The sequence below is a fragment of the Homo sapiens genome, chromosome 9 (genome assembly GCF_000001405.40).
Source record: "Homo sapiens chromosome 9, GRCh38.p14 Primary Assembly".
Taxonomy (NCBI): Eukaryota; Metazoa; Chordata; class Mammalia; order Primates; family Hominidae; genus Homo; species Homo sapiens.
Genome location: NC_000009.12, coordinates 37,646,479 through 37,669,942, shown reverse-complemented (window position 1 = coordinate 37,669,942; position 23,464 = coordinate 37,646,479). Strand labels below are relative to the sequence as shown.

The 23,464-nt window shown below is 46.7% G+C and overlaps 1 protein-coding gene and 1 pseudogene across 8 annotated transcripts in view, besides 1 other annotated feature; one reads left to right on the top strand and one right to left on the bottom strand.

The window, feature by feature from the left end:
- Positions 1–23,464, bottom strand: part of FRMPD1 (FERM and PDZ domain containing 1) — a 143,676-nt gene that overhangs the window by 76,962 nt on the left and 43,250 nt on the right. For 3 of the 8 annotated variants that reach the window (XR_929220.3, NM_014907.3, XM_011517805.3), the window contains exon 1: positions 18,849–18,989. The exons of 3 other annotated variants lie outside the window; for them this stretch is intronic. The gene's annotated coding sequence lies outside the window, so the exon portion shown is untranslated. Of the gene's footprint in view, positions 1–1,349; positions 1,935–18,848; positions 18,990–23,464 lie in introns of those variants that run through there. 2 more of the 8 variants (NM_001371223.1, XM_017014482.2) reach the window with 1 other exon arrangement.
- RN7SKP171 (RN7SK pseudogene 171) lies at positions 7,894–8,196 on the top strand (annotated as a pseudogene).
- Positions 18,848–19,117: a silencer, noted in NCBI's record as "silent region_19911". NCBI's record gives its function as "represses an Ori minimal core promoter by ATAC-STARR-seq in GM12878 lymphoblastoid cells {active_cell/tissue: GM12878}" and the evidence as "EXISTENCE:reporter gene assay evidence [ECO:0000049][PMID:35858748]".

Here is a 23,464-nt window from a genome sequence, read left to right as displayed (position 1 = left end):
CAGCTCACCACAACCTCCGCCTCCCGGGTTCAAGCGATTCTCCTGCCTCAGCCTCCCGAGTAGCTGGGATTACAGGCATGCGCCACCATGCCCGGCTAATTTTGTATTTTTAGTAGAGTTGGGGTTTCTCCATGTTGGTCAGGCTGGTCTCCAACTCCCGACCCCAGGTGATCCACCCGCCTCGGCCTCCCAAAGTGCTGGAATTACAGGAGTCAGCCACCACGTGCCCAGCCTATTTACTTTCATTTTTGGCCCACCTATCTTTCACTCCTGCTAGGTGTGTGTGTATAGTAGTAATGCAGAGAAGCAGAAAAAGGGAATCATTATTCAAAGCTAGCAGCAGCAACAGAGAAACTCTCTCTTCGGTAAAGAAAACTCAGAATCCATAAAAGAAAAAGAAACAAAGTGAGTCACTGCCCTGGGTGTCAAACACATGGAGAGGATGACTTAAGCCATGGCAGGCAATGGTTCTGTAACTTCACTGCCTATCAGATCACCTGGAGGACTTGTTAAAACACAGGTTGCTGGGCCCCACCCGCAGAGTTTCCCTAGGTCTGGGGCGGGGCTGAGAGTTCGTATTTCTCACAGGCTCTCGGAGAATACAGGTGGGGACCATACTTGAAGAATCCTCAATGCAGACCATCAAAGGAATCAAGCAAGTCAAGGTCAAGGGATCAGCTGTGGTATATGGCATAGGCATTTCTAAAACTAGAAGATTCATTTTAATTAAGACATACGGAAAAGTTAAATTAGGTAGTGATTTTTTTCCCCTTCTCACTCACTTGTAATTCAGAGGCTAAATTCCACAGAGCTGACCAGAGAGGCATGGACAAGGAAGTTAGGGGACCTGGATCCAAGTCCTGATTCTGTCACTAGTTAGCTGTGTAACCAAAGATTGCTCATTATCCTCTCAGGACATCATTGCACCATCTGAAACAGGGATTTATTCAACGTGAAAGTCTCTAGCCTGGGGTCTCACATCCTATGATCCCCCAATTTTGAAAACCTGTTGGCAAGTTAGTTCCAAAAGTATTTAATGATTATCTTATTTATATATAAAATGATTAAGGATGCTGCCTTTTGAAAACACAAAACAAATGTGAGAAATAATTACCAGTTAAATTTGAGAAGAACCCATAATAAATAAATTGCGATTATGAACACTGAAAGAATCTTAATCAAACAGGTTTCATAAAGGATAAGTGCTCAAGAACAAATATACCGTGGAAACAGGTTTTTTTTAAGATATGGAGAAGGTATCACAATTGAGAAGAACCAAAACAGCCCCCTTTCCAAGAACAGTCTAGAGAAAGCAGCACACGTTACAGAATGAGCAAACACCAACTCACCAGTGGCACAGAGCTGAAGGGACTCTTCCTCGGAAAGAAATCCACACCTCTTCCCCCTGCTGGCAGCTCCCCTCCATCCCAGGACACTGCTCCCGGGCCTCCCAGCACACAGCTATTTTTAAAGATAAAAGGCCACATTCCCAACATTGCGGCCACAAGAATGTGAATATCAAATGACCTTCCCATAGCTCATCGATAAGCCCAAGTAAAACCGACTGCCAGGCCATGTGGGCAAAGTTGGGTGGTATCTCTGTGGCACGGGCCCCCTCCTCACAGGAGCATGACCCTCCTCATCTGCGGATACTGGGCAGCTGCAGCTATGCCTGTCAACATGTCTGGCTTCTCTCCTTTCAGCACGACAGGCACAGGAGTCCTGCAGATGGCATTCTCATCCTCAAGACCTCAACCACTTGAGCCAGTCGAGAGAGGAAACCCTAGAGGTCCTTGATTGGCAAACTGGCTTCCTCTGTGCCAAGGGCAACACAGAAGATGACACCCAAGGTCTCATGATGCATCCATTTTATAGTTGTAGAGTTTATTCTGTGCCACATAATACTTGGTCTCCTGCTAGTTCTGCCCAGTTGTGTTCAGTTAAAGTTAATAGCAATGGCATTAGCTCACTAAGCCTCACAGCATCCCAGGGAGGTAGGTCACCCCTAAGCACATTATCCCCCCTTAACAGATGGGGAAATGACGCCACAGGAAGATTAAATAACTTGCCCAGCCTCACACAGCCTGCCACAGGTAGAGCAGGAGATGATCTCAGCCCTCATGCCGGCTCATGGACAAAGAATACTCTGGATAAAGCCCTTTGCAATTTTAGGATCCCATGAAGTGTGGGTGGTTTGCATTACAGAGGTTGAAAAAGAAATAAGCACAGGGGTAACCTTCTTTTTTTTTTTCTTTTTTTGAGACAGAGTCTCCCTCTGTCACCCAAGCTGGAGTGCAGTGGCACGATCTCGTCTCATTGCAACCTCTGCCTCCGCCTCCCGGGTTCAAGCAATTCTTGTGTCTCAGCCTCCCAAGCAGCTGGGATTACAAGTGTGTGCCACCATGCCTGGCTATTTTTTTTTTTTAATTTTTAGTAGAGATGGGGTCTCACCATGTTGGTCAGGCTGGTCCTGAACTCTTGACCTCAAGCAACCCGCCCGCCTCAGCCTCCCGAAGTGCTGGGATTACAGGAGTGAGCCATTGTGGCCAGCCCAGGGGTAACCTTAAAACTGCTTCAGGCCTGGCACAGTGGCTCATGCCTGTAACCCCAGCACTTTGGGAGGCTGAGGTGGGCAGATCGCTTGAGGTCAGGAGTTCTAGACCAGCCTGGCCAACATGGTGAGACCCTGTCTTTACTGAAAATACAAGAAAATAGCTGGGCTTGGTGGTGCGCACCTGTGGTCCCAGCTGCTTGGGAAGCTGAGGTGGCAGGATCGCTTGAGCCTGGGGGAGCAGCAGTTGCAGTAAGCCAAGGTCACGCCACTGCACTCCAGCCTGGGTGACAAAGCAAGACCCTGTCTCAGGAAAAAAAAAAAAAAAAGCATGCTTCAATTGTCTCTCTTTTCCCATGTCTCCCCAGAACACCATAAGAGAGGAATACTTTTTAATACACAGCTATGAACTGAAAGATGGTATGGGCACTGATGCAAGGCGAGGACGGAACCGACTGGGAGGCAGCAAAGGGCCTCAGTGAGGAAGGATCAAAGGAGAGGCGAGGCCAAGTAGGGTTCTATCAGTGACTCTGTACCTCAGAAAGCTAGGCACAAACTGGTGACTGCTAGCCTGAAATTATGCCCGTTTCATTCCTTTATGCATTGAGTACTTGCACATCTCTTCAGTCAAGAAGCTTGAAAAGTCATCAAGGAGTGCACATAAATCACTGAAATACAAAGTAAAAAAGAGTAAGGACCAGTGCAGAGAGGCTAGTAGAACACCTGGGAGTTTGGTGGTGGGAGATCCCATCCAGCTGTGGATAAAGTAGAGTGAGCTATCAGGGAAGGCTTTGTGCAGGAGGTGAGCAGAGCGTGAAGGACAGGATAAGACCTGCAGGGGTAGGGAGAAAGGCAACGGGGGCACACCAGGGGAAGGGCATAAAGTGCACAGAAGGGAGATGGCACTGGGCTACCCTGAAGACCAAAGGTTCAGCTTAGCATGAAGACGATGAGGCATAAAAGGTATGTGAAATAAAGTGGAGGTATCGGGGTAGGAGTGGCAGGTGGAAGAAGCCAGATCACCAAAGGCCTTAAGTGTGGGACTAAGGACATTTACATTTCACTCCTAGCCACAGTACTCAGCATTGTGCCTTGCTCACAGTAGACACTCAATAAGTGTTAGTGGGGCAAAATGCAGGAAGGCAATTTAATTTCTGAGTAACGCAGAACAACTGTGAAGAAGACACCCAAAAAATGCCCCCATTTTCTTTTACCAATTGATATCTAGTCAGGAGAACTCCTACTACCTACCTAAAATTTGCTATGTTCTGCCCCACACGGAGACCAGGGAATACTTGCCATCAGCTTCTCACCCAAGAACACTGTGAAAATTAACGATGAGGTAATGTCTGAAATGCTCAGAGCTCTTTGGAGATGTATGGCAAAAGGCATCACTATCTTTAATATTCAAAGTGATTCTACCCAACTCTGATCTCTTTTTCTGCAGACTAATGTTACGTCCACAGGATAAGGTGATGCCAGATTGACCCCTAAATAAACCTCTCCAACAGACAGTGCCAACACAGGTGCATACTGCTGAGCCCTCACATGTGGCTGCTGGGGTCCAGAACCATAAGGCAGGAGTGGTTTCTGACCACCCCAACGTTGCCAAAGACTTCAGGAGCAAAGTGCATTAGGTAGAAAGTGATCTTCTGCGGGACCCCACTTTTAAGCATGAGAAAGCCCAGTGAAGACTTCAAGGGGAATCATTTTAGCAAAACCCACATCCTAAGCCAGTTAACATTTTTAGGTCTAACGCAGTGCCCAAGAAAGGAAGAAATAAGAATAGCTCCCTGGGCTCAATTACAAATGGAGTGGAAAAAATAATTTCAGAAGTTCAAGGGGAAAAAAAATCAATCTATTTCCTTCCCCCAAAGCTTTCACTTCTATAAATATACTCACACAAATGGACCTAAGACCACTCTTCCTTCTGAAAACACCACCTGTCTGGAATTTGCAAGATAAATGATGTGCTCATTTAGTTTTCCACCTAGTGACGCTCAAACAACGCTCTCCAAAAGCTTATCTCTTTTTCTTAATTGTCACTTATTTCCTCCCTCTTATAAAAGTAATACATGTGGCTGGTAGAAAATTTTGAAAGTTTTCTTTTTTGGAGAGAAGATAATAAAAATTGTCCACTAAAAGCTATAAGTTGCTAATTACTCTTCCAGTCTTTTTGTGTGAAAAGACACATTTTCAACATAATTGGGAACTTACCATATATGCTGGTTTCTAAACTGAAAAATATACACTGTAAACATTTCCCTGTGTCTTTATTATTCTACAACATTATTGTTTATTTGCTATAGATAAGAGTGCCATTTTTAAAGCTAAGTCCCTATTGCTGGATATTTGGTTTATTTTCGATGTCTGTATTACAAATATGTTGAGATAAACATCTCTGAAAATACATCTGTAATTATTCTCTTAGGATAAATTCCTAGGAATGGCACTGCTGGGTGAAAGACTATACAAGTTTTTAATGCTTTTGATATAGCCAAATTGCCCCCCACAAAAGCTATCCCAATTATGCTCCCTTGGTCAGTAGGAAAACTACTTCCCCCAATTACTCAGTCACCCCTAATTTATTAGATTTATAAGGGGGCTTCTGTTTGCAGTTCTTTTCTTTGCTTTTATTGCTGATTTTATTTGTAGTTCTTTGATTATTCCAGAGTCAGGTTTTTCCCCGAATGTTTAGTGTCTATAGCATATCTTAGAGAATATCTTTACTGTGTGCTTCTATTCATCAAAAAGTTGATGTCCTCGGATGAAGCTGGAAACCATCATCCTCAGCAAACTAACACAGGAACAGAAAACCAAACACCGCATGTTCTCACTCATAAGTGGGAGTTGAACAATGAGAACACATGGACACGGGGAGGGGAACAACACACACCGGGGCCTGTCGGGGGTGGGGTAAGGGGAGGGAGAGCATCAGGACAAATAGCTAATGCATGTGGGGCTTAAAACCTAGGTGATGGGTTGATAGGTACAGCAAACCACTAGGCACATGTATACCTATGTAACAAACTCGCACATTCTCCACATGTATCCCGGAACTTAAAGTAAAAATAAATAAATAAATACATACATACATACATACATACATAAATGTCGATGCCCTACATCCCCTCCAAAGGGCATCTCCCCCACCCCACCACCAAGGGCAGCCCAGTGGTCTCCCTGCTCTGAATCTGTCACCCACATTTTCATCTCGGTGCCCTCCACTCCTCTCTCAGGAAACATTTCACAGTTCCAGCAGGTGAGTCAGACACAGAACCTAATAATCAGTCATTTATTCAGTTATTCATTTATTCAGGTGATAGCTCTTGGGCGTCTGTCATGCTCCAGGTACCATACTGAAACAGAAGTAGAGTCAGCCCTTCATATCTGGGGCTTCTGCATCCGTGGATTCAACCAAACTTGAACTGAAAATATTCGGGGAAAAGATGCATGGTTGTGTCTATACTGAACATGTACAGACTTTTTCTTGTCATTATTCCCTAAACAATACAGTATAACAACTATTTACATAGCATTTACACTCTATTAGGTATTATAAGTAACCTGGAGATAATCTGAAGTATACAAGAGGATATGCATAGGTTATATGCAAACATTACACCATTTTATATAAAGGACTTGAGCATCCATGGATTTTCTTATCTGCAGTGGGGTCCTGGAACCAATCCCCTATGGGATACTGAAGGATGACTATATAGACAAAACACTACGAGAAACCAGGAGAGGCAAAGTCACGAGGTTAGAACAGCAGAAGAACACTAGAATTGAAAGATAACTAGGAGTTTTACTGGTAGATGGAGTGTGGCAGTGGAGAGGGTAAGCAAAGGAAATAGCATGAACAAAAATCCAGAGGCCTGCTAGAGCCTTGTGCATTGAAGAAATGTTTTCATTATTAAGGCATGAGAACAACAGGCTGGAGGATGAGACTGAAAAGTTAGCTCAAGCCTAATTCCCATGCTGAGTTCACCTGCTGATCAGCCCCCTCCCCCTGCATCTCCACTCTGGCATGCAATCCCCACCTGGCCCATCTCCAATGCAGACTCCTCCAAAAGACTTCCTGAAGAACCATCTTCAGCATCCATCTATCCAGATCTCTCAGCCTGGGGCAGAAATCCTGGCACTCACACCAATTTACTCAGCAATCCCCAGTGAACAGATCATTCTGTTCACTGACTCTTGGGTATAAGACTTACTAGTCCAGCTACAAAAGAAATTTCTGGCTAATGATGTCTCTTATACCCCTAGGCTGTCAACACTAGGCTAAACTTCTAATGGGCAATCAATAAAAGCCTACGGTATCTAAACAAATTAAATTGGGCAGACTAAATACAAGAGAGGGATGAGTGTGCACAGGTTGTACGCATCTAACTGTCACCCAGACAGCTAGGAAAATTGAAACTGTCTTTGAAAATGAGCTTCTGAACACAATCATGGCAAAAGATAGATTAATTCTCTTTACGCATGTAATTCTGCATCTTCCCAGACATTTCTCAGGCACACAAACAGTACTTGTTAAACTGAGCTGCATGTCCCAAGAGCTTCTGTACATAAAGGTCAATCTATTCTGAAGACTTGGATATTTTTTTTTTCTTTCCAAGAAGGCAGGAGAATAAGAGAGGAAAGAAGGTCCCTCACATAGGTCATCTCTGCTGGGATTTTCCATACTGATAATTCCAATTCAAAGCAAAAAATCCTAGTGCCACCTGGGAAGACCTGGTCTCCATCATTCATATTTTTATGTAGTAACAAACATTTCTAGATAGCTCCTCCCTGAGGGCAGTGGGCCCATACATTGATCAAGTGGCTAGTCTCTCCCTGTTCTGGTTCCGATCCCTCAGCCCTGTATTCCCTACCACAGCATTCATGATGCTGACTTCTTATTTGTCCCCACACTAGGCTGTGACCTCTGTAAGGCCAAGGACTGTAACTCCATCTGTATTTGCTCTGGGGCCTAGAACATCACTTTCCAAATAATGAATGGCCATGGTTTGAATGTACCCCCCAAAGTTCATGTGCTAAAACTGTGATCCCCAATATGGCAGTGATGGGCGGTGGGGCCTAATAGGGGATGTTTGGAACATGGGAGCACCACCCTCATGAACAGACTAATGCTGTTATTGCAGGAGTGGGTTTATTATTGTGCGATTGGGTTCACTCCTCTTGCCCTCTCTTTGCCCTTCTGTCATGGGATGACACAGCAAGAAGGCTCATGAAAGATACCGGCCTCTTGATTTGGACTTCCCTGCCTCCAGAGCCACAACCAATAAATCTTTATTTATTATAAATACCCAGTCTGTGGTATTCTGTTATAGCAACATGGATGTGAGGGCAATCTGGCTGTGACATCTGTCACCCCACTGGTCACCAGGTTTGATTCAGCTGATCTGGCTGGCTAGGCAGGTGTCCCCTTCCTCCCTCACCACTCCATGTGCATCCCTCCCGAAGCTGCATTCTTGGTCAAAGAGGACAGCCATCCCCGACAGAGGAGGACTGGTCTTTGGTCAAGGGTATACGAGTAGCTGTGCTCCCCTGCTGGAACCTCCAAACAAGCTGTTAGAGCAACACAAAACAGTCTAAGACATGGATTATCTATGCTGTGAAATTAAATGTAGTGTCAAAGCTGTAGAGGACCTTGGATATAACCTAGCCCACAGATAGGAAACTGAGGCCCAGACAAGGGGAAGCAACCTTCAAATTCACACAGAGAGGTGGTGGTAGTTTGCAGGTGGAAGAGAATAAGAAACAAACATGTCAGGAATGCCGTAAGCTTGAGGAATTAGGACACTGGGGGGCTTTATGAAATTTGGAAAGGATGAGAACTTGAGGCAAAACTAAACTTTGTTCTGGATAGCCTCTAACACACAGAACCAGTCTTATCTCTCTTCTCCATGACAGCCCTTCAGATAACATAAAAAGAATATTAACATTTATTGAATATTTACCATGTGTAGGTGGAAAACAGGGGTCATTATATCCTCCCTGTATCTTCTTTTCTGTAAGCTTAACATGCACAGATAATCAATTAAGAAAGCAAGTAAACAATGGGCCTCAGATCATGCAACTGGTAAACTCAGGCCTGATGAAGTCAAAGGCCTGGGTACTTCCCCCTGCACCCTCCTGCCTCTGTGACTCTAGTACTAAGACTACAAGGCACCAAGAAGAGCCAGCTGGACCGAATTAGCAAGTTCCCAGGTCAGTCTGGCCATGTCACAGAACAACAGGCAGCAGTTCCAGGGGCTGGACATTAGGTCCACCGCCTCCCTATCCTCTGAAAGTGCAGAGAGGGGGCACCACCCCTCCAAGTCTCTACTAACTTGGCTGATATAGCAAACCAACTCCAGGAGAGAATATAAGATGGAGAAACACAGAGGCCCACATATGCTCTTGACTTAGCCAGGATACTACTGATGACTGTAGAGACCAATGAAGGCAGCTGGGAGCCAGATGCAGCTAAGGAAGTAGTCATAGCCATGCATTCATTCATTTCATCGGTCAACACTGTACCCCCCAGGCCTCCTTCTGGGCTCCGTACTGAATGAGCAGCAAGGCTCGGTCCCTGCCCAGGAAGCTCACAGTCAAGTGGGGAAGGTTACACAGCAACACCCCATGACCACACTGTCTGGGGAGTATTGCCTTGCAGAAATGAAAGTGCAGGAGGGAAGGCTCCCAAAGTCTGGAAAAGATATCCCAGATAAAGCATCATATTTTGATGTGGGGATATTTTGAAGTGGCTATACCAAACAAGCCTTGTCAAAATGGAAAATCACTGTTCTTTAAACCCATTGTTTAAACCTACTTTAAAATCACTGTTCTTTAAGAGAAATGAGAAGCGGAGGTCTCTAAGCAGTGCAGTCTGAATATCTTCCTTACTAGATGGTCCTTAAGGTCCCTGTAAGACCTGAGCTTCTTCCAGTGCAGCTCCATCGGATGATGACCAGGAAGGGGGCCACCTGAGGTCAACTTTGGATACACTGTTCTATCCATCTTTCTCTTCTTTATCTCCTAGTCACCCACTAGGGCTCGGTTCAAATGCCAGTCCCTCCCAGAAGCCCTCCTAGATCTCCCTGCAAGGCATGGCCAGCCCTTGCTAGGCTCCCAAGGGTCTCTGCAAAGCACAGCACCCTGCCCAGCACTGACTTACTTCCAGCCGCAGGTGGGGCAGGGACTGTCTGATTCATCTCTCTCCTCCCTCCCCGCCTCTCCTCCCCAGCCCCTATCCCCACACAGGCCTTTCTTAGCAAAGCACATTGAAATGAGTGCAGCAGCCATCTAGGAGGATGCCGTCGGACAGGAATCCTGGGGGCAGCAATGAGTGGAGAGTCTGGAGCTGCTCAGTGTCCAGAACTTCCCAGGCCACTACCCTCCCCCTGCTTTCTCTCAGCTCCACTACTAGCTTCACCAGACGCAGCTCTTCTGCTTGCCCCTCAGTTTTGTTTTTTTTTTTTTTTTTTTAGTGCTTGAAAAGTCAACTGCAAACAAAGCAGCGCACTCTCTTTGTGGAGAAAAGCACATTTTAGTGGGAGTTGCATTTGGAGAGCCCAGAAGCCAGCAGCAGACTGGAGATCACACTTAAAGGACCATGGAACTTCTGAAACAGGCTAGTTGTAGGGCAAGAAGATGATACTACTATGCCCTTACAGGGTTGTCAAGGAGCATTTCCTGATTTTTTACAGAGTATTTGGGCACTGAGAATATAATTTCCCTCAAATTCAGTGAGCCAATCTCAGTCTAAATTAGTGGGAAAATGTGAAGACATAAGTCTTCCACTATGTGTCCCTTCTTTGTCCAGAGCACATTCACTGTGGGATCTTCCCTACGTCTGAGAACCGGCAATGAATATTTTAATAGCCACAGCTTCTCCTTCCCACTGACAAAACCTCCACTGGACTCGCCATAGCATGCTGGTGGAAATGAGGGTATGCACCAGAAAGACCTGAGCTTTCTCCTAGGCAGCCTAATCCCTGAGGGCCCCACCCACATCTGTACAACAGGAGTGATAGGAACAGCCCCGGCACCCTTCAGAGCAGCAGCCAGGATGCTGAAGGAAGGAGGAGACAGAAGACATGTGGCCTGAGGATCTGAGGCCAGTGACCCTGGAGAGCTGGGTTCAAATACAATAGAAACAAAAGGGAGTTGCAAAAGTAGAGAAAGTAGAGAGCCAATGGCTGAATGGCGGCCACCCTAAAAAGATATCCAAGTCTTGGCTGGATGTAGTAGCTCACACCCGTCATCCCAGCACTTTGGGAGGCTGGGACAGGAGGACTGCTTAAGCTCAGGAGTTTGAGATCAGTCTGAGCAACATAGCAAGGCCTCATCTCTACTAAAAATAAAATTTAAAAATTAGCCAGTTGGTGTGCGCCTATAGTCCCAGCAATTTAGAAGGCTGAGGTGGGAGGATCACTTGAGCCCAGGAGATCAGCACTGCAGTGAGCTTGATCATGCCACTGCACTCCAGCCTGGGTGACAGAGCCAAACCCAGTCTCAAAAATAAATAAATAAATAAATAATTCCAAGTCCCAATCCCAGGAACCTGTAAATGTGATCTTATTTGGAAAAAGGATTTTTACACCTATAATTAAATTAATGATCTTTAGATGACGTGCTTATCCTTGGATTATCCAGATGGACCCTAAATCTCAGGACAAGTGTCCTTATAAGAGTGAAACAAAGATTTGAAACAGACAGGAGGAGGCAACGTGACCAGGGAGGCAGAGACTGGAGTGATGCAGCCACAAGTCAAGAAATGCCAGTGGGCACCAGAAGCTGGAAGTGACAAAGGAAGGATTCCCCTTAGAGACTCCAGTGGGACAGCAGCACTACCAACATCTCGATTTTGTACTTCTGGCCTCCAGAACTGTTCAAGGACACAGTTCTGCTGTTTTAAGCCAAGATTGAGGTGATTTGTTACAGCATTTACAGGAAAAAATACAGCACCTAAGAAGTAGTCAGACAGATGAGGGATCTGAGTCCCAGAGAGGGGGCTCACTCACCCGACCCCACGTCAACCACTGGGCCAGGACACTCGGGTCTCTCTGACGCCAAAGTGCATGCAGTTCCGTAGTGGCCCAGTGCACAGCTCAGAAGGGGGACCCACCGGGACCTAACTGGCCTCAGGCTGTGCTAACGCAAATATAGATTCCGAAGTGAGGCTGCAGTGGGCTTGCTCCTGTCTGGGCTGATCAGACCCCCACCTGCACAGCGGTGTCCCATTCTTAGCTTTTCAGGGGGCCAGATAAAGTGGGCATTCTGCCTAAAGAAGTGAAGATGTGGGGGCCTGATCCCTGTCTTTGAAGGTCCAAGTGGCCTAACTAGCTGTCATAGGGAAGAAGAAATGGATTTTTTGTGTGTGGGGCTTCAAAGGACAGGATCGGGCCAATGGGGCAACCATTGCCGAGAGGAAGATTTTTGGCTTGGAATAATGAAGAACTTTGTAATAACCAGAGCCAACTGAGGATGGAATAGGAAGGTGGTGGGGGTTGGTAGGTCCAAGCAGAGGGAGGCTGGGTATGCTAGGGGAATTCCTGCACCACACAAAGGCTGTACTTGATCATCTCCGGAGCTGGCAGTCTTGTTTGAGGGTCTATGCTGGTAGCTAAAATATCTGGAAACATATGTGTGAATCTAGGTTTTCAGCACATAAACAAGGCACACTCTCACTAAGACACTTATTACGCAGTTTTTGCAAAGAGCTAAGTACTGAAAATAACCAGGAATGAGCTTGAGAAAGAGACCGTCTATTCTTCCATCTCCTATACATAAAATGTCCCTCACCCCAGGGAGAAAGAAAGAGGCCAAGTATGTATCTCCACAGAGACATCATCTTCTAACCAGACCAGGAACTAACAGCACATTCACAGGTACCAGGGGAGCCCTGGACAGTCTGGAGTGGTGTCTTTTTCCAGGGAAAGCCAGAGAGAACAGAGACTGCAGCTACTAAATAAATTATTTTTATAAGAACGAATAAATGCCATCCTCGTCTTTAATAATTGTTTTTCCTTTTGCATCCTTCTGAATTCTACATTGGAGCAAAGAAAACAACAAAGCAGTAACTCAGAAGCTTCACATGTGAATAGTTACAAGTCAGCATCAGACAGGGGTTTCAACTGGCAGGGGAGGTGGGATTGTTATCGTTGGTTTTAATACAAGCTGTAGCCTACACCCTATATTCTAGATACTCAAAGAACAGGAAGCACAGCATTTCTCAGCTGCCTGCACATCTGTCTTCTCTTAAGTCAAAAATCTCAGAGAATGATGCACTGTTGCATCCAGATGAATTCCTCTGAAGCTCTTTCCATTCAGGATTTTGAAATTTTGCCATATCACCCTTTTACTGAAGCAGCTGAGGTTCTCAGATCATTCCTTGAAAGAGGTCAAAAGAACTTTTAAATTTACCATCTTATCTTTTCCAACTTGTAATTAGTGTTTTTTTTTTTCTTTTTCACCAAAACAACTAATATTAAGGCCACATACCATTTAGCAGCCAGCTTGGGAAAGGATTGGTGGCCCAAACCACTTCTAACTGCTGGCAAAAAGGTCTCTAAACATCAGATGAGTTCCTGAAAACACTGTGTCACTTAATGAAAATAATGGCTTCTGCCCTCATATCAATCTGCCAAGCACCTAGTCCGGCTTCCCACTGTCCTTCAGGCAGATAGTTAACTGAAAAAAAAAAAGTCTCAGATTTGCAAACCTGTATAATGTAATCTGTAATTACCAAAACAAATTTAATCCACTGTTAGTACTGCTTCCATGAACATATATTAAGTTTAGTGTATATCTCAGGATACAGTAAAAGTACAACTACAATAGCTGTGGATAAACCAAAATTTTATACATTGATTGGTGTTAAGTGCATAGGTATATTTGGTGTTTGAAAGCTTTCTATACTGATCTTTTTTACAGTAAGGAACGCTTTTATAATATAAAGAATGATTGTCAAAAGCTTCAAGGTTCAAATTTTACACAGTATATTCCTTTAAAATAGGCACACTGAAAAGCTAAATTCAAAACTCAGACTCATCTTAGAGGTTGCATCAACCCATCATCAAATGAAGGAGCTACATCTTGAGGGATCAGAATGCCACGAGTGAGTTCAGCTGACAACCATATGCAACCCCTAAGCATCAGCCTCATGTTTCTGGCTTGACTCAAACCATTTCAGATATCGGGAAAATCACAGGCTTTTGTCAATCCGATACAGACCATTATCAAGCTTGCATTAGGGCTAGGCTCTGTGAAAAGGGTTGTGGGGTAGAAAGATGAAGGACATTGTGCCGGCCCTCCCAAGGGCTTTCTATGAGCTGTGGCCACATACACAAGTGACCGCACACAAAATCCTTCAAGGCTGACAGTAATGACTTCTCCATGAGAGGTACCAAGTATCAGGGAACAGTGAAATCCCTGGGATGAGGGGATCTGGAAGACAGCTTCCTAAGGGTGGTAGGATTTGAGCTTAGCCTTCAGGCATAGGCAGGACCACCAAGGCTAAAGCACATGCTAGACAGAGGGGCTAGACGGGGGAGCAAAGGCCTAGAGACCTGAGGCTAGGGGGATTAAGAGTTGGGAGGCTGGGCACGGGGACTCATGCCTGTAATCTCAGCACTTTGGGAGGCCGAGGCGGGTGGATCACAAGGTCAGGAGTTCGAGACCAGCCTGGTCAATATGGTGAAACCCCGTCTCTACGAAAAAATACAAAAATTAGCCGGGCATGGTGGCAGGTGCCTGTAGTCCCAGGTACTCAGGAGGCTGCGGCAGGGCAATTGCTTGAACCCGGGAGGCAGAGGTTGCAGTGAGCCGAGATCGCACCACTGCACTCCAGCCTGGGCAACAGAGCAAGACTCCATCTCAAAAAAAAAAAAAAAAAAAAAAAAAGAGTGGGGACATGGTGCAGAGGAGGGGGTGTGAGAGAAAGGATGGAGGTAGCCCATCATGCCTGCTGGGCTGAGGACTCGGGACTTCAGTATCCATACAGGGAAGACCCACTGAAAGGCTCTAAGGAGGAGCATGATGAGATCAGAGCCACACTTTACAGTACAGAGCACTGAAGCCTGATGCTCAGAGAGAATGGAAAGATGGGGGCATATTTGAGAGAGATTTTGGAAGTAAAAATAACAGGGCTTGGTCACTGTTACTTTACAGGGCAAGGTCACTTGGTCCTTACTGAGTAGATTTCAGTAAGGAGGGAACAAGGGAGAAGGCACAGACAATTAGCCTCCCCTGCTGTAGTTTCCAGCTTGGGAGGAGGAGGGGATGATGGCTGAAGGGTACCCCGCAGCAAGCGGGCACAGCCAGTATTTTGGTACCAGGGCTGGTGGCACCAGGGGCTCAGCTCCACTCTTGCTTTCCCTTTATGCATCAATGAGCACCTCCGGGGGCAGGGAAGGAGGGAGGGAAAGAGATCCTAAAGAAGGGTCTACTGTGCAATGTCCCCGAAGTTGTAGCAGGAGCAGCAGCAGCAGCAGCTCACCACACCACTCGGCCTGATCCTGCAAGTGAAAAGTGCTGTGGGTGGTCATTTCTTCAAAATTCCTAAAATATATAATTCTGTATTGAAGGGGCAGAGAGCCTGCTCTTGAGTCTCCCCGATAACTGTGAGGATAATACCTGTGCACACAGACTGTCTAGTTGTACATGCACCAAGCCCCTTCAGGCCTCCAGGCCTTAGCATTTGCTGTTCCTTCAGCCTGGAACAGTTTCCTCCTTCTCTCACCCTCAATTGAACTTTTATTTGGTGCTTACTACATAACTGGCACTATTCTAAGTACTTTACATGTATCGACTCATTCAGTTATCCAACAACCCTCTCAAGGAGGTACTGTTATTATCCCTAGTTTACAGATGAAAAAACTGAAGTTCAGAAGATTAAATAACCTGATAGTGGAATATATTTAGTTAGCCAAGGGGCAAGTATTCAAATCCAGGTGGTGTGGCCCCAGAGTCTGCATTCTCATACACAGAACTACCCTACCTCTTACAGATACAGAGCTGCTGCACTGACCCTCACCCAGCTCCAGGCAAGACTGGCTCCCTCTCTCCTGTGGCTCTCACTGGCTCAGATAGGCCTGCCCTGACCACCCTCCAATGGAGTCCCACTCCTACTACTTTCTCCCACATTTCCCCACTTATTTTCTTCCCAGCCTTTGGCACAACCTGTAGTTACCTTATTTATGTAATGACTTCTTCATTATTTTCTCCAACTAGAATATAAACTCCAGGAAGGTAGAGACCTTGCCTTTTGTTCCGATGTATTCTCGAGGCACCTAGAACAATTTTCTGGCAGAGAGCAGGTGTTCTATGAACAACCATTGATTGAAAAAATGAAGGACAGTACCATAGATGCTACATAGTGCTACACAGGGTCATAAGGTATTGCAATGTTATTCTTCACCCTCTGTCTTCTTTTTTTTAGAGATGGAGTCTCACTCTTTTGACCGGGCTGGAGTGCAGTGGCCTGATCATAGCTCACCGCAGTCTCGAGTGAGACTCAAGTGATCCTCCCACCTCAGCACCTCAGCCTCCCAAGTAGCTGGGACCACAGGTGCACACCCACTACACCCAGCTAATTTGTAAATTTTTTGTAGAGATGGGGTCTCACTATGCTACCCAGGTTGTATCCTATTCTTTGACCACTGCAAATCTAAGACAGAAGGGAGCCAGTACCCCGCTCCCAGCTATATGGACAAAGCTGATATATTTAGAGCTGTGTCTGTCAAATCTGCCCCCCTCCCCCACCAATCTGGGTCCTTGAGTACATAGTGATAAGCTTGTGTGAGGCAGGGATTGAGCCTTCTGATTAGCCTTCTGTGACCTCCCACCACCTAACAGTATTTACAGGGCATTGCCTGTTGTTGATGTTAGTATCTGATCTGAACACCTTCCAAATAACAAAAAGCCCCTGCCCCTTGAATCAGGAGGCACCTCGAGGACACATCACATTGTCACAAGAACTCTCTGCTGCTGGTGAGGTTCTAAATCAATGCACATGCTTAAACCAAAAGCACTATTTACTCCAATGGTGCCTTCAAACACTTATTCAGCTTGCCCATGAACCCTCTGATAAAAAGAATTGACTTTTATCCAACACCTATTACATGCAAACATCCTATTAGACACTGTTATACATGATCTCATTTAATCTTGTGAGTTTGGAATTATTATTATTCCCGTTTTACGAATTAAAAAAGTGACGCTCGGAGGCCCAATACTCCACAGCCAGCGAGGATTCCAGCCCAGGTTCAGAGCCTCCAGAGCCTCTTCCCGCTGCCCTGTCTCTGAAGTGCTCTGCCTTCTCTGTGCTTCCACCAGGCTCACTGCTCTCATCTGTCTCATGCTCTCCCAGCTCTCACCAGTTCCTTGCTCGTACCAGCTCCTTGACCTACACATAGCCTTTCTATTCCTCACCACCTGTTGAAATCCTCTTCTTCCTCCACCTTCCATTGTAAAGCCTTCTCCAATATCTCCACTTGGAATTCACCCTCCTTAGTGTTCACAGGAATCCCAGGCGATAAAGCCCACAATGAAGATCCTGTGGCACAAGCCTCTCTATTCCCCAACAGAACCTAAGCTCCTTGAGGGTAGGGCCTGTTGGTAATTTTCATGTTTGTGTCCTCTCGAATGAGTAGTGAGAAAGTGCTTGATGAACCAATAGAGAATGAAGAGGGAAAAGACTGGTGGCATTTGAATGCGTCAGAGAGATAAAAGGCTCTGGACAAATTAGCTTCAAGGATGGGGTCTCATTCAGGAAAGACAAACTTAGGTACCACAACTCTGCTCTGGTCACCAAGCACACCCTCACCAGCTCTCTGATTTCATAATGCTAGAAACTTAAAACCAGGATGTCGAGGAAGGAAATAAAATCATAAAATCACTTCTGTGAGAATCCTTTCGTGGTAATGCGTTTCACCCACACACTGGGGAGCCACTAATTGCAGCACAAGGGGAACAAGATATTGGGCAAAAGAATAAATTTCACTTTCTAGCATATCACAGTTAACTACCTCGTGCTTGTTTTGCTGTGACTGTGCCAGAATGCACCAGTCCTGGAAAAGATGAACTTGGCTCCTTAACCGTACCCATACTCAACACCGACCAAAGGATGCCCGAAATTGTCTTGATTGGAAATCATCTCAACCATCATCTTAGACTAGAAACAAGTAGATGCTGGCCTCTAGGTCAGGACCCCTAGAACAGTGCATTATTTTTTTTTCCCAAACAACCATTCTGAGGTTTTTACAAAAATAACCGACTCACAAACAGAAACGCTTCCTGATCTATAAGCCACTTTGAAAACAAATCATTATGTCGTTGAATATTTCATGACGGTCCAAAGCACTGAAGAAGGCGAACTGAGCGTTCACCAATCCTCCCCATGTCTATTTTGGGACTTCCAAAGCAAACTGCAAATGCCTCCTTTATTTTCTAAACGTTCATTTGCAAGTGCTAGATGGATTCTTGGTGAAATATTGCCTCCACCCAAACTGACTAAATGCAGAGATCCGGAGGTTCCGCTTCTCCAGAGTTTACAGCTGAAAGAGACAGCGAACAACTAGTGAACACGACTTCCACCCTATTTTATAGGTGGCAAAAGCAGGGGGCACTTGCCCAAGGTCACACAGACAGTGGGTGTATGGCAGAGGAGCCACCAGAAGCCAGAGTCCTGACTCCTAACCCTAGGGGCATCCCCTGCTTCCCGAGGCTGACTCAACGCCCCCACTAAAGCTCAGTCAAAGCTGCTGCAAGTTAGCGACGCGACCCTGGAGACTGACTTCTGTGGCTCATTCCTCTCCACACGCAATGAGTTCTGGAGCTGAGACACTCAGGGATGCCCCTCTACTCAAAAAATGACAACACAGGCATTGGCACTGCAGCTGATCGTCCCTGGCGAACCCCTTCTGGTTCAGGTGTGGCCATCGAGGACGGACAGAGAGGGTTGGTCTGAGGTCACTCAGAAAGTTGGCGCTGGCCGCGGCCGCACCTGAACCCAGGTCTCTCCCCCTCCCGCGTTGCCGCTGTTTCCACTCACTACACCATGCAGATCTCGGAAACTTAAGCACACATCGCTACTGTGCAAACAGTTCACGATGGCAGGTCCTGAGCTAGCCCACGGACGCGCCCCCGAGCCGGGCTTGGGGACACGAGGACCGGAGGCGGGCGCGGGTCACCCGGGACTGGTGGTGCAGGCGGAGGGCGGCGCGGAGGAAGCCGAGGCGCAGGCCCGGGGTGTGGGGACAGGCCGTCTCCCCAAAACTTTGCGGTGCCAGGACCCCTCCCTTACCTGCAGAGGAGGTGCCGCCCGCGCGGACAAGGACCTAGCGGGCTGACGCTCTCGGAGAAGGGCGGCCCCGCCCAGCGGCGGGCACGGTCGCGGCCAAGGCTCGGGAAGCAGCGCTGCTCGGGCTCGGCTCGGGCTCCGCCTCCCGCGCCGAGGCTGCAGCCGGAGGGGTTGGCCGGGCCGGGCCGCGCCCGCGCCGTCTGGCGGCGGCAGGTGCTGAGGCTGCAGCTGCGCGGCCGCCAGCTGCCGGCGCCGCGACCCCCGCCCCGGGGGAGGAGCCCCGCGCGCCGCCTCCGCTGGCTCCGAGGTCCCGGCCCGCCGCAGTGGGCGGTCCCGCTCCCACCCGGGCCCTGCCTCCGCCGCCTGCCTCAGCTCACCGCCGGGGCACGCAGCGTCCGCTGAGTACCCAGGGGGGAGACTGAGGCTGGGAGAGGAAAGGGACTCCCCAAGGTCACCCGGACCAGCGGTGGTTGGGCCAGAACTGGAACCCAGAAGAGTTCCCAAAACGACCCCCTTCTCACGCCTCCTTTTCCCCAGGAAGAGCCCCAGCTACGGGGAGCCCTGGGGGACTCGCCCCCTGACCCCCACGCCCCGCAGGTGTTCGGCTGAAGGGAGAGGGAGAGCGTGGGCCCACGGTAGGCACTGTGGACCACCTCCCCTGTCTCTGTAAACTCCTTCCGCGCTGGGAAACTGTGTTCTCCTAGCTTTCCTCGGCCCTCTCCAGCCACTCCCTCGGTCTCCTTGAGGGTTCCTCAAACCAGAAGCTCTAAAATGCCGGAGCGCCCTGGGACTCTGCACTCAGCCCTTTTCTGACCCCCTGAGCCGTCTCACCCACTCCCCTGGTTCTGGTCCTACCGCCTCTCTGAGCATGATACCCAAATGCATGTGTCTGTGCACTATTTTCCGTGCTGAACTCTACTGAACACCTACGAGGTCCATATCCTGCATTAGACACTGGAGATACAATACACCTTTAATAAAGCAGTCCCTGTCCTCATGGAATGTACAGTCTAGGACTATTAAAATACAGTCCAGTTCCTGTAACAATAACCCAATCCCACGGGGCCAAGGGCACCACTCAGGCCTGCACTGACTGAGTGAAGGCCTCCTGGAGAGGGCATGCTCTAAATGGAAACCTGAAAGGCCAGTGGAATTGGCCAGTGAAAGGGAGGAGTGTGGAGAGAGCCTTTCAGGTTGAGACCACAGGAACAAAGACCCCAAGATGAGAGAGATCCCACAGAGGGAGTGGCAGGAGTTGAGACATAAAGCAGGGGAGTCAGCAGGGGCCAATTCCTGGTCAAGGAGTTTGCACCGTGTTCCCAGTGCACTGGCAGGTTCATGGGAGGAGTTCTGAGTAGGGTTGAGGCACCATCAGACTGGGATGTTAGATCATTCTGGGGATGGTGCACAGGCAGATGTTAACAAGTGCATCCTTCATCCAAGGGCGGTGGGGGAAGACTAGCAGCACTTTGGAGCCAACATCGTCTGGATGAAGGCAGGTGCTCCTCCTTTGTGACCTTCATTTCCAAATCCAGGAGTCCATCCAGAAACTCCTGAGTGGCTCCATCGCTGAAAGACCTCCTACGTAATTGCACCCAAAGCTCCCTTTTCTGTCAGTGCCCCAGCCCTCTGCCACCCAGATCCACGGGCTGAGTGAGCCTTTTGCTTTCCTCACCCGTCTTTGTAGTATACAAAGTTCTGCCCCAGGAGACAGAAGCACCATAAGGGTGGAAGATTCTGAAGCCATAGTGGAAATAATGAAAGCTTTTTAAAAATCAAGTATTCTGGCTCTCTGAATTATTTCTTAACAATTGCATGTGAATCTACAATTTTCTCAAAATAAAGTTTAATTTTAAAAATTATTTTGTAGATAAAGATTAATCATCAAATTACTCTCTCCAAGGCAGTTAAACACCAAAAAGCATAGCACTTGTCAGAAAGTAAGATAAGAACTATTCTCTTGTCCGGTGAGTACAAATGTTCCCCATGGAATTTTGCCCTGTCCCCCTCCATTTCCTAGCTACCTGCGTCAGTGTCAGCCTCTCTAGGTGCCGGACCCAGCCCCTAACCCCGCTCTCCTCAGATTCTCATTCTGGTCCCTCTTGCCCCTCAGCCTCCTTTACCATTGCCCTCATGTCCCTCCTTGGCCTTTCTCCCTTCACTCTCACCAGGCAATTCTATCAGCTGCATGGTTTCAGCCAAACCTTCTGTCTTCCAAACCCAGAGACACAACTGCCTGCTGGACATCGCCTAAATGTCCCTCAGGTGCCCCACTCTCAACACAGCCAAAACCAAACCCACATCTTACCCCCAAATTACCCCTTTTGCATTGCTTCCCTATCTCAACTGGTAGTGGCACTTCCTTCCTCTGGGCACCTAAACTAGAAACCAAAGGGACAGTCTAGACTCTTCCTTCTTCCTGGCCTTCATACTCTACTGGACACTAAGTCCAATCAACTCTGTCTCCTTAACTTCTCTTACACATGTCTCCTCCCCCTCATCCTGCCGCCCTTGCTTTCGTTGGAGCCTCACCATTTCTTGCCAAGGCTGTAGTAACCGCCTCCAGTCTTTCCTATTTTCATCCTTCACATACTGCCAGTGATCTTTTTCAACCACAGACCTGACCAGTGACTCTCCTGCTGAAGACACCTCCATTGTTCCTTCTTGATCGTGCAGCAAAGTCTTAACTCCTTAGCATCACGTGAATCCACAGTGATCCTATTACCCGTGTGGCGCCATCTCTACCTCACCCCACACCTGCACACCAAACACCTTATGTTCTTAGGGTACCTTATGTAATAAGAGACACATAACATAGTGTTAAAAAAAAATGTAGTCTTGAGCCAAACTGCCTAGGTTCAAATCCCAATGCTGCTTTTTAACCTATGTAATTTTGGAAAAGTTCCATAACCTCTCAGTTCTTGGTTTTTTTCCTTTGCAAAGGGAGCATAATAAGAATACCTACCACCTAGGAGTGTTCTAAAAAATAAGAGTTCCTGGAGACGAAACAGCATTCATTACTTGCTAGCCAGCACTATTAGGAATGCTTCTAATCATTATATGCGGTGAGGATTACCCTACTTATTTTACAGAGAGAAGGAAACTGAGGCTCCAAGAAGTAAAGTCGCTTACCCAAGATTCCACAGCTTTAAAATAGCTGCACTGGGATTCATATGAAATTCTAAATCCTATACTGCTAAATACTTTACATAAGCTATTATTGCTTCCTTGTTTTTCTAACCTTTAACCCAACCTATTGGACAAACTTCTTCTTCCTTTAAATCCTGGTCAAAAATATCTTGTCCTCCATGAACTCTTCCCAGTCCTTGCTTTGAGCCTCTGCTGTACTTATGTACAGCATACAGCAAATAAAGCACGCAGCACACCCATTACAATGATTTGTTTACACGTCTGTCTTCTTGAGACCTTCTTGAGAAATACAATGTCTTATTTATTTTTGCCTTCCTATAATCCCATAAATATTTATTGAATGAATGAATAAATCAACAAATAAAGTATATATGTTTCTCAAGTTTTACCCTAACAGCTGTCATTTGGATATAGATTACTTTTTTTTTTTTTTTTTTGAAACGGAGTCTCGCTCTTCGCCCAGGCTGGAGTGCAGTGGCGCGATCTCGGCTCACTGCAAGCTCCTCCTCCTGGGTTCACGCCATTCTCCTGCCTGAGCCTCCGGAGTAGCTGGGACTACAGGTGCCCGCCACCCCGCCCGGTTAATTTTTTTTTGTATTTTTAGTAGAGACGGGGTTTCACTGTGTTAGCCAGGATGGTCTTGATCTCCTGACCTTGTGATCCGCCCGTCTCGACCTCCCAAAGTGCTGGGATTACAGGTATGAGCCACCGTGCCTGGCCTAGATTACTTTCAATCTCTGTTTTTGTCACTCTGAAGAGTCATTTTTGGTGAGAGGATAGCATCAAATGATCTAATATTAATATAGAACAAGATATAGCAAGAATGAAATTTCTCATATTGCTATGTGGTTGTGCCTTGTCCCTCTCTGAGTCTCTCCTTTTTTTAGTGACACCATGTAATAGCCCATAAGGACAAGCTGTGTTGCATCCTAATGAGACTTCCTGACTCAAACATCTGAGATTCAAATTTATTTCCCATAAGTACCATTTCAGCTAAAAGTTTGCTTTCTCTATGGCAATGAGTATGCCATTTGTCATCTGCTAAGTGCCCATACCTTCCCCTTACCTGTATCAATCTCCTTTGCACTCAAATACTTCTGAGAGCTGACTTAATAGTGCTTTTCTATACAATTTCCTTCTTAGAATGCCTAACTCTTCCTGACCTCATATCTATTGTTCCCAAAATAGAATCATTTACTGCTTCAAATTTCAGCTTTACTGTCTGCAGTGATTTAGGACAAGTTTCTGTTCTTCTTCAGAATGATCAAATTCCTTATGGTTAAAAAAACCTCGACCCTGTCATTTTCTATGGAGTAGTGTTTTTAAATGTTTTTAAGTGTTTTCGATGTTAGAAATATTTATTTTGTTTACCTGAACACAAGTAAATTGGCAATTTTAATGCCTGCAGATCAAATTAATGAGAAGTAGTATGGGTGAAAGAAAGAACACTGTATGGAAAGCAGAGGGGA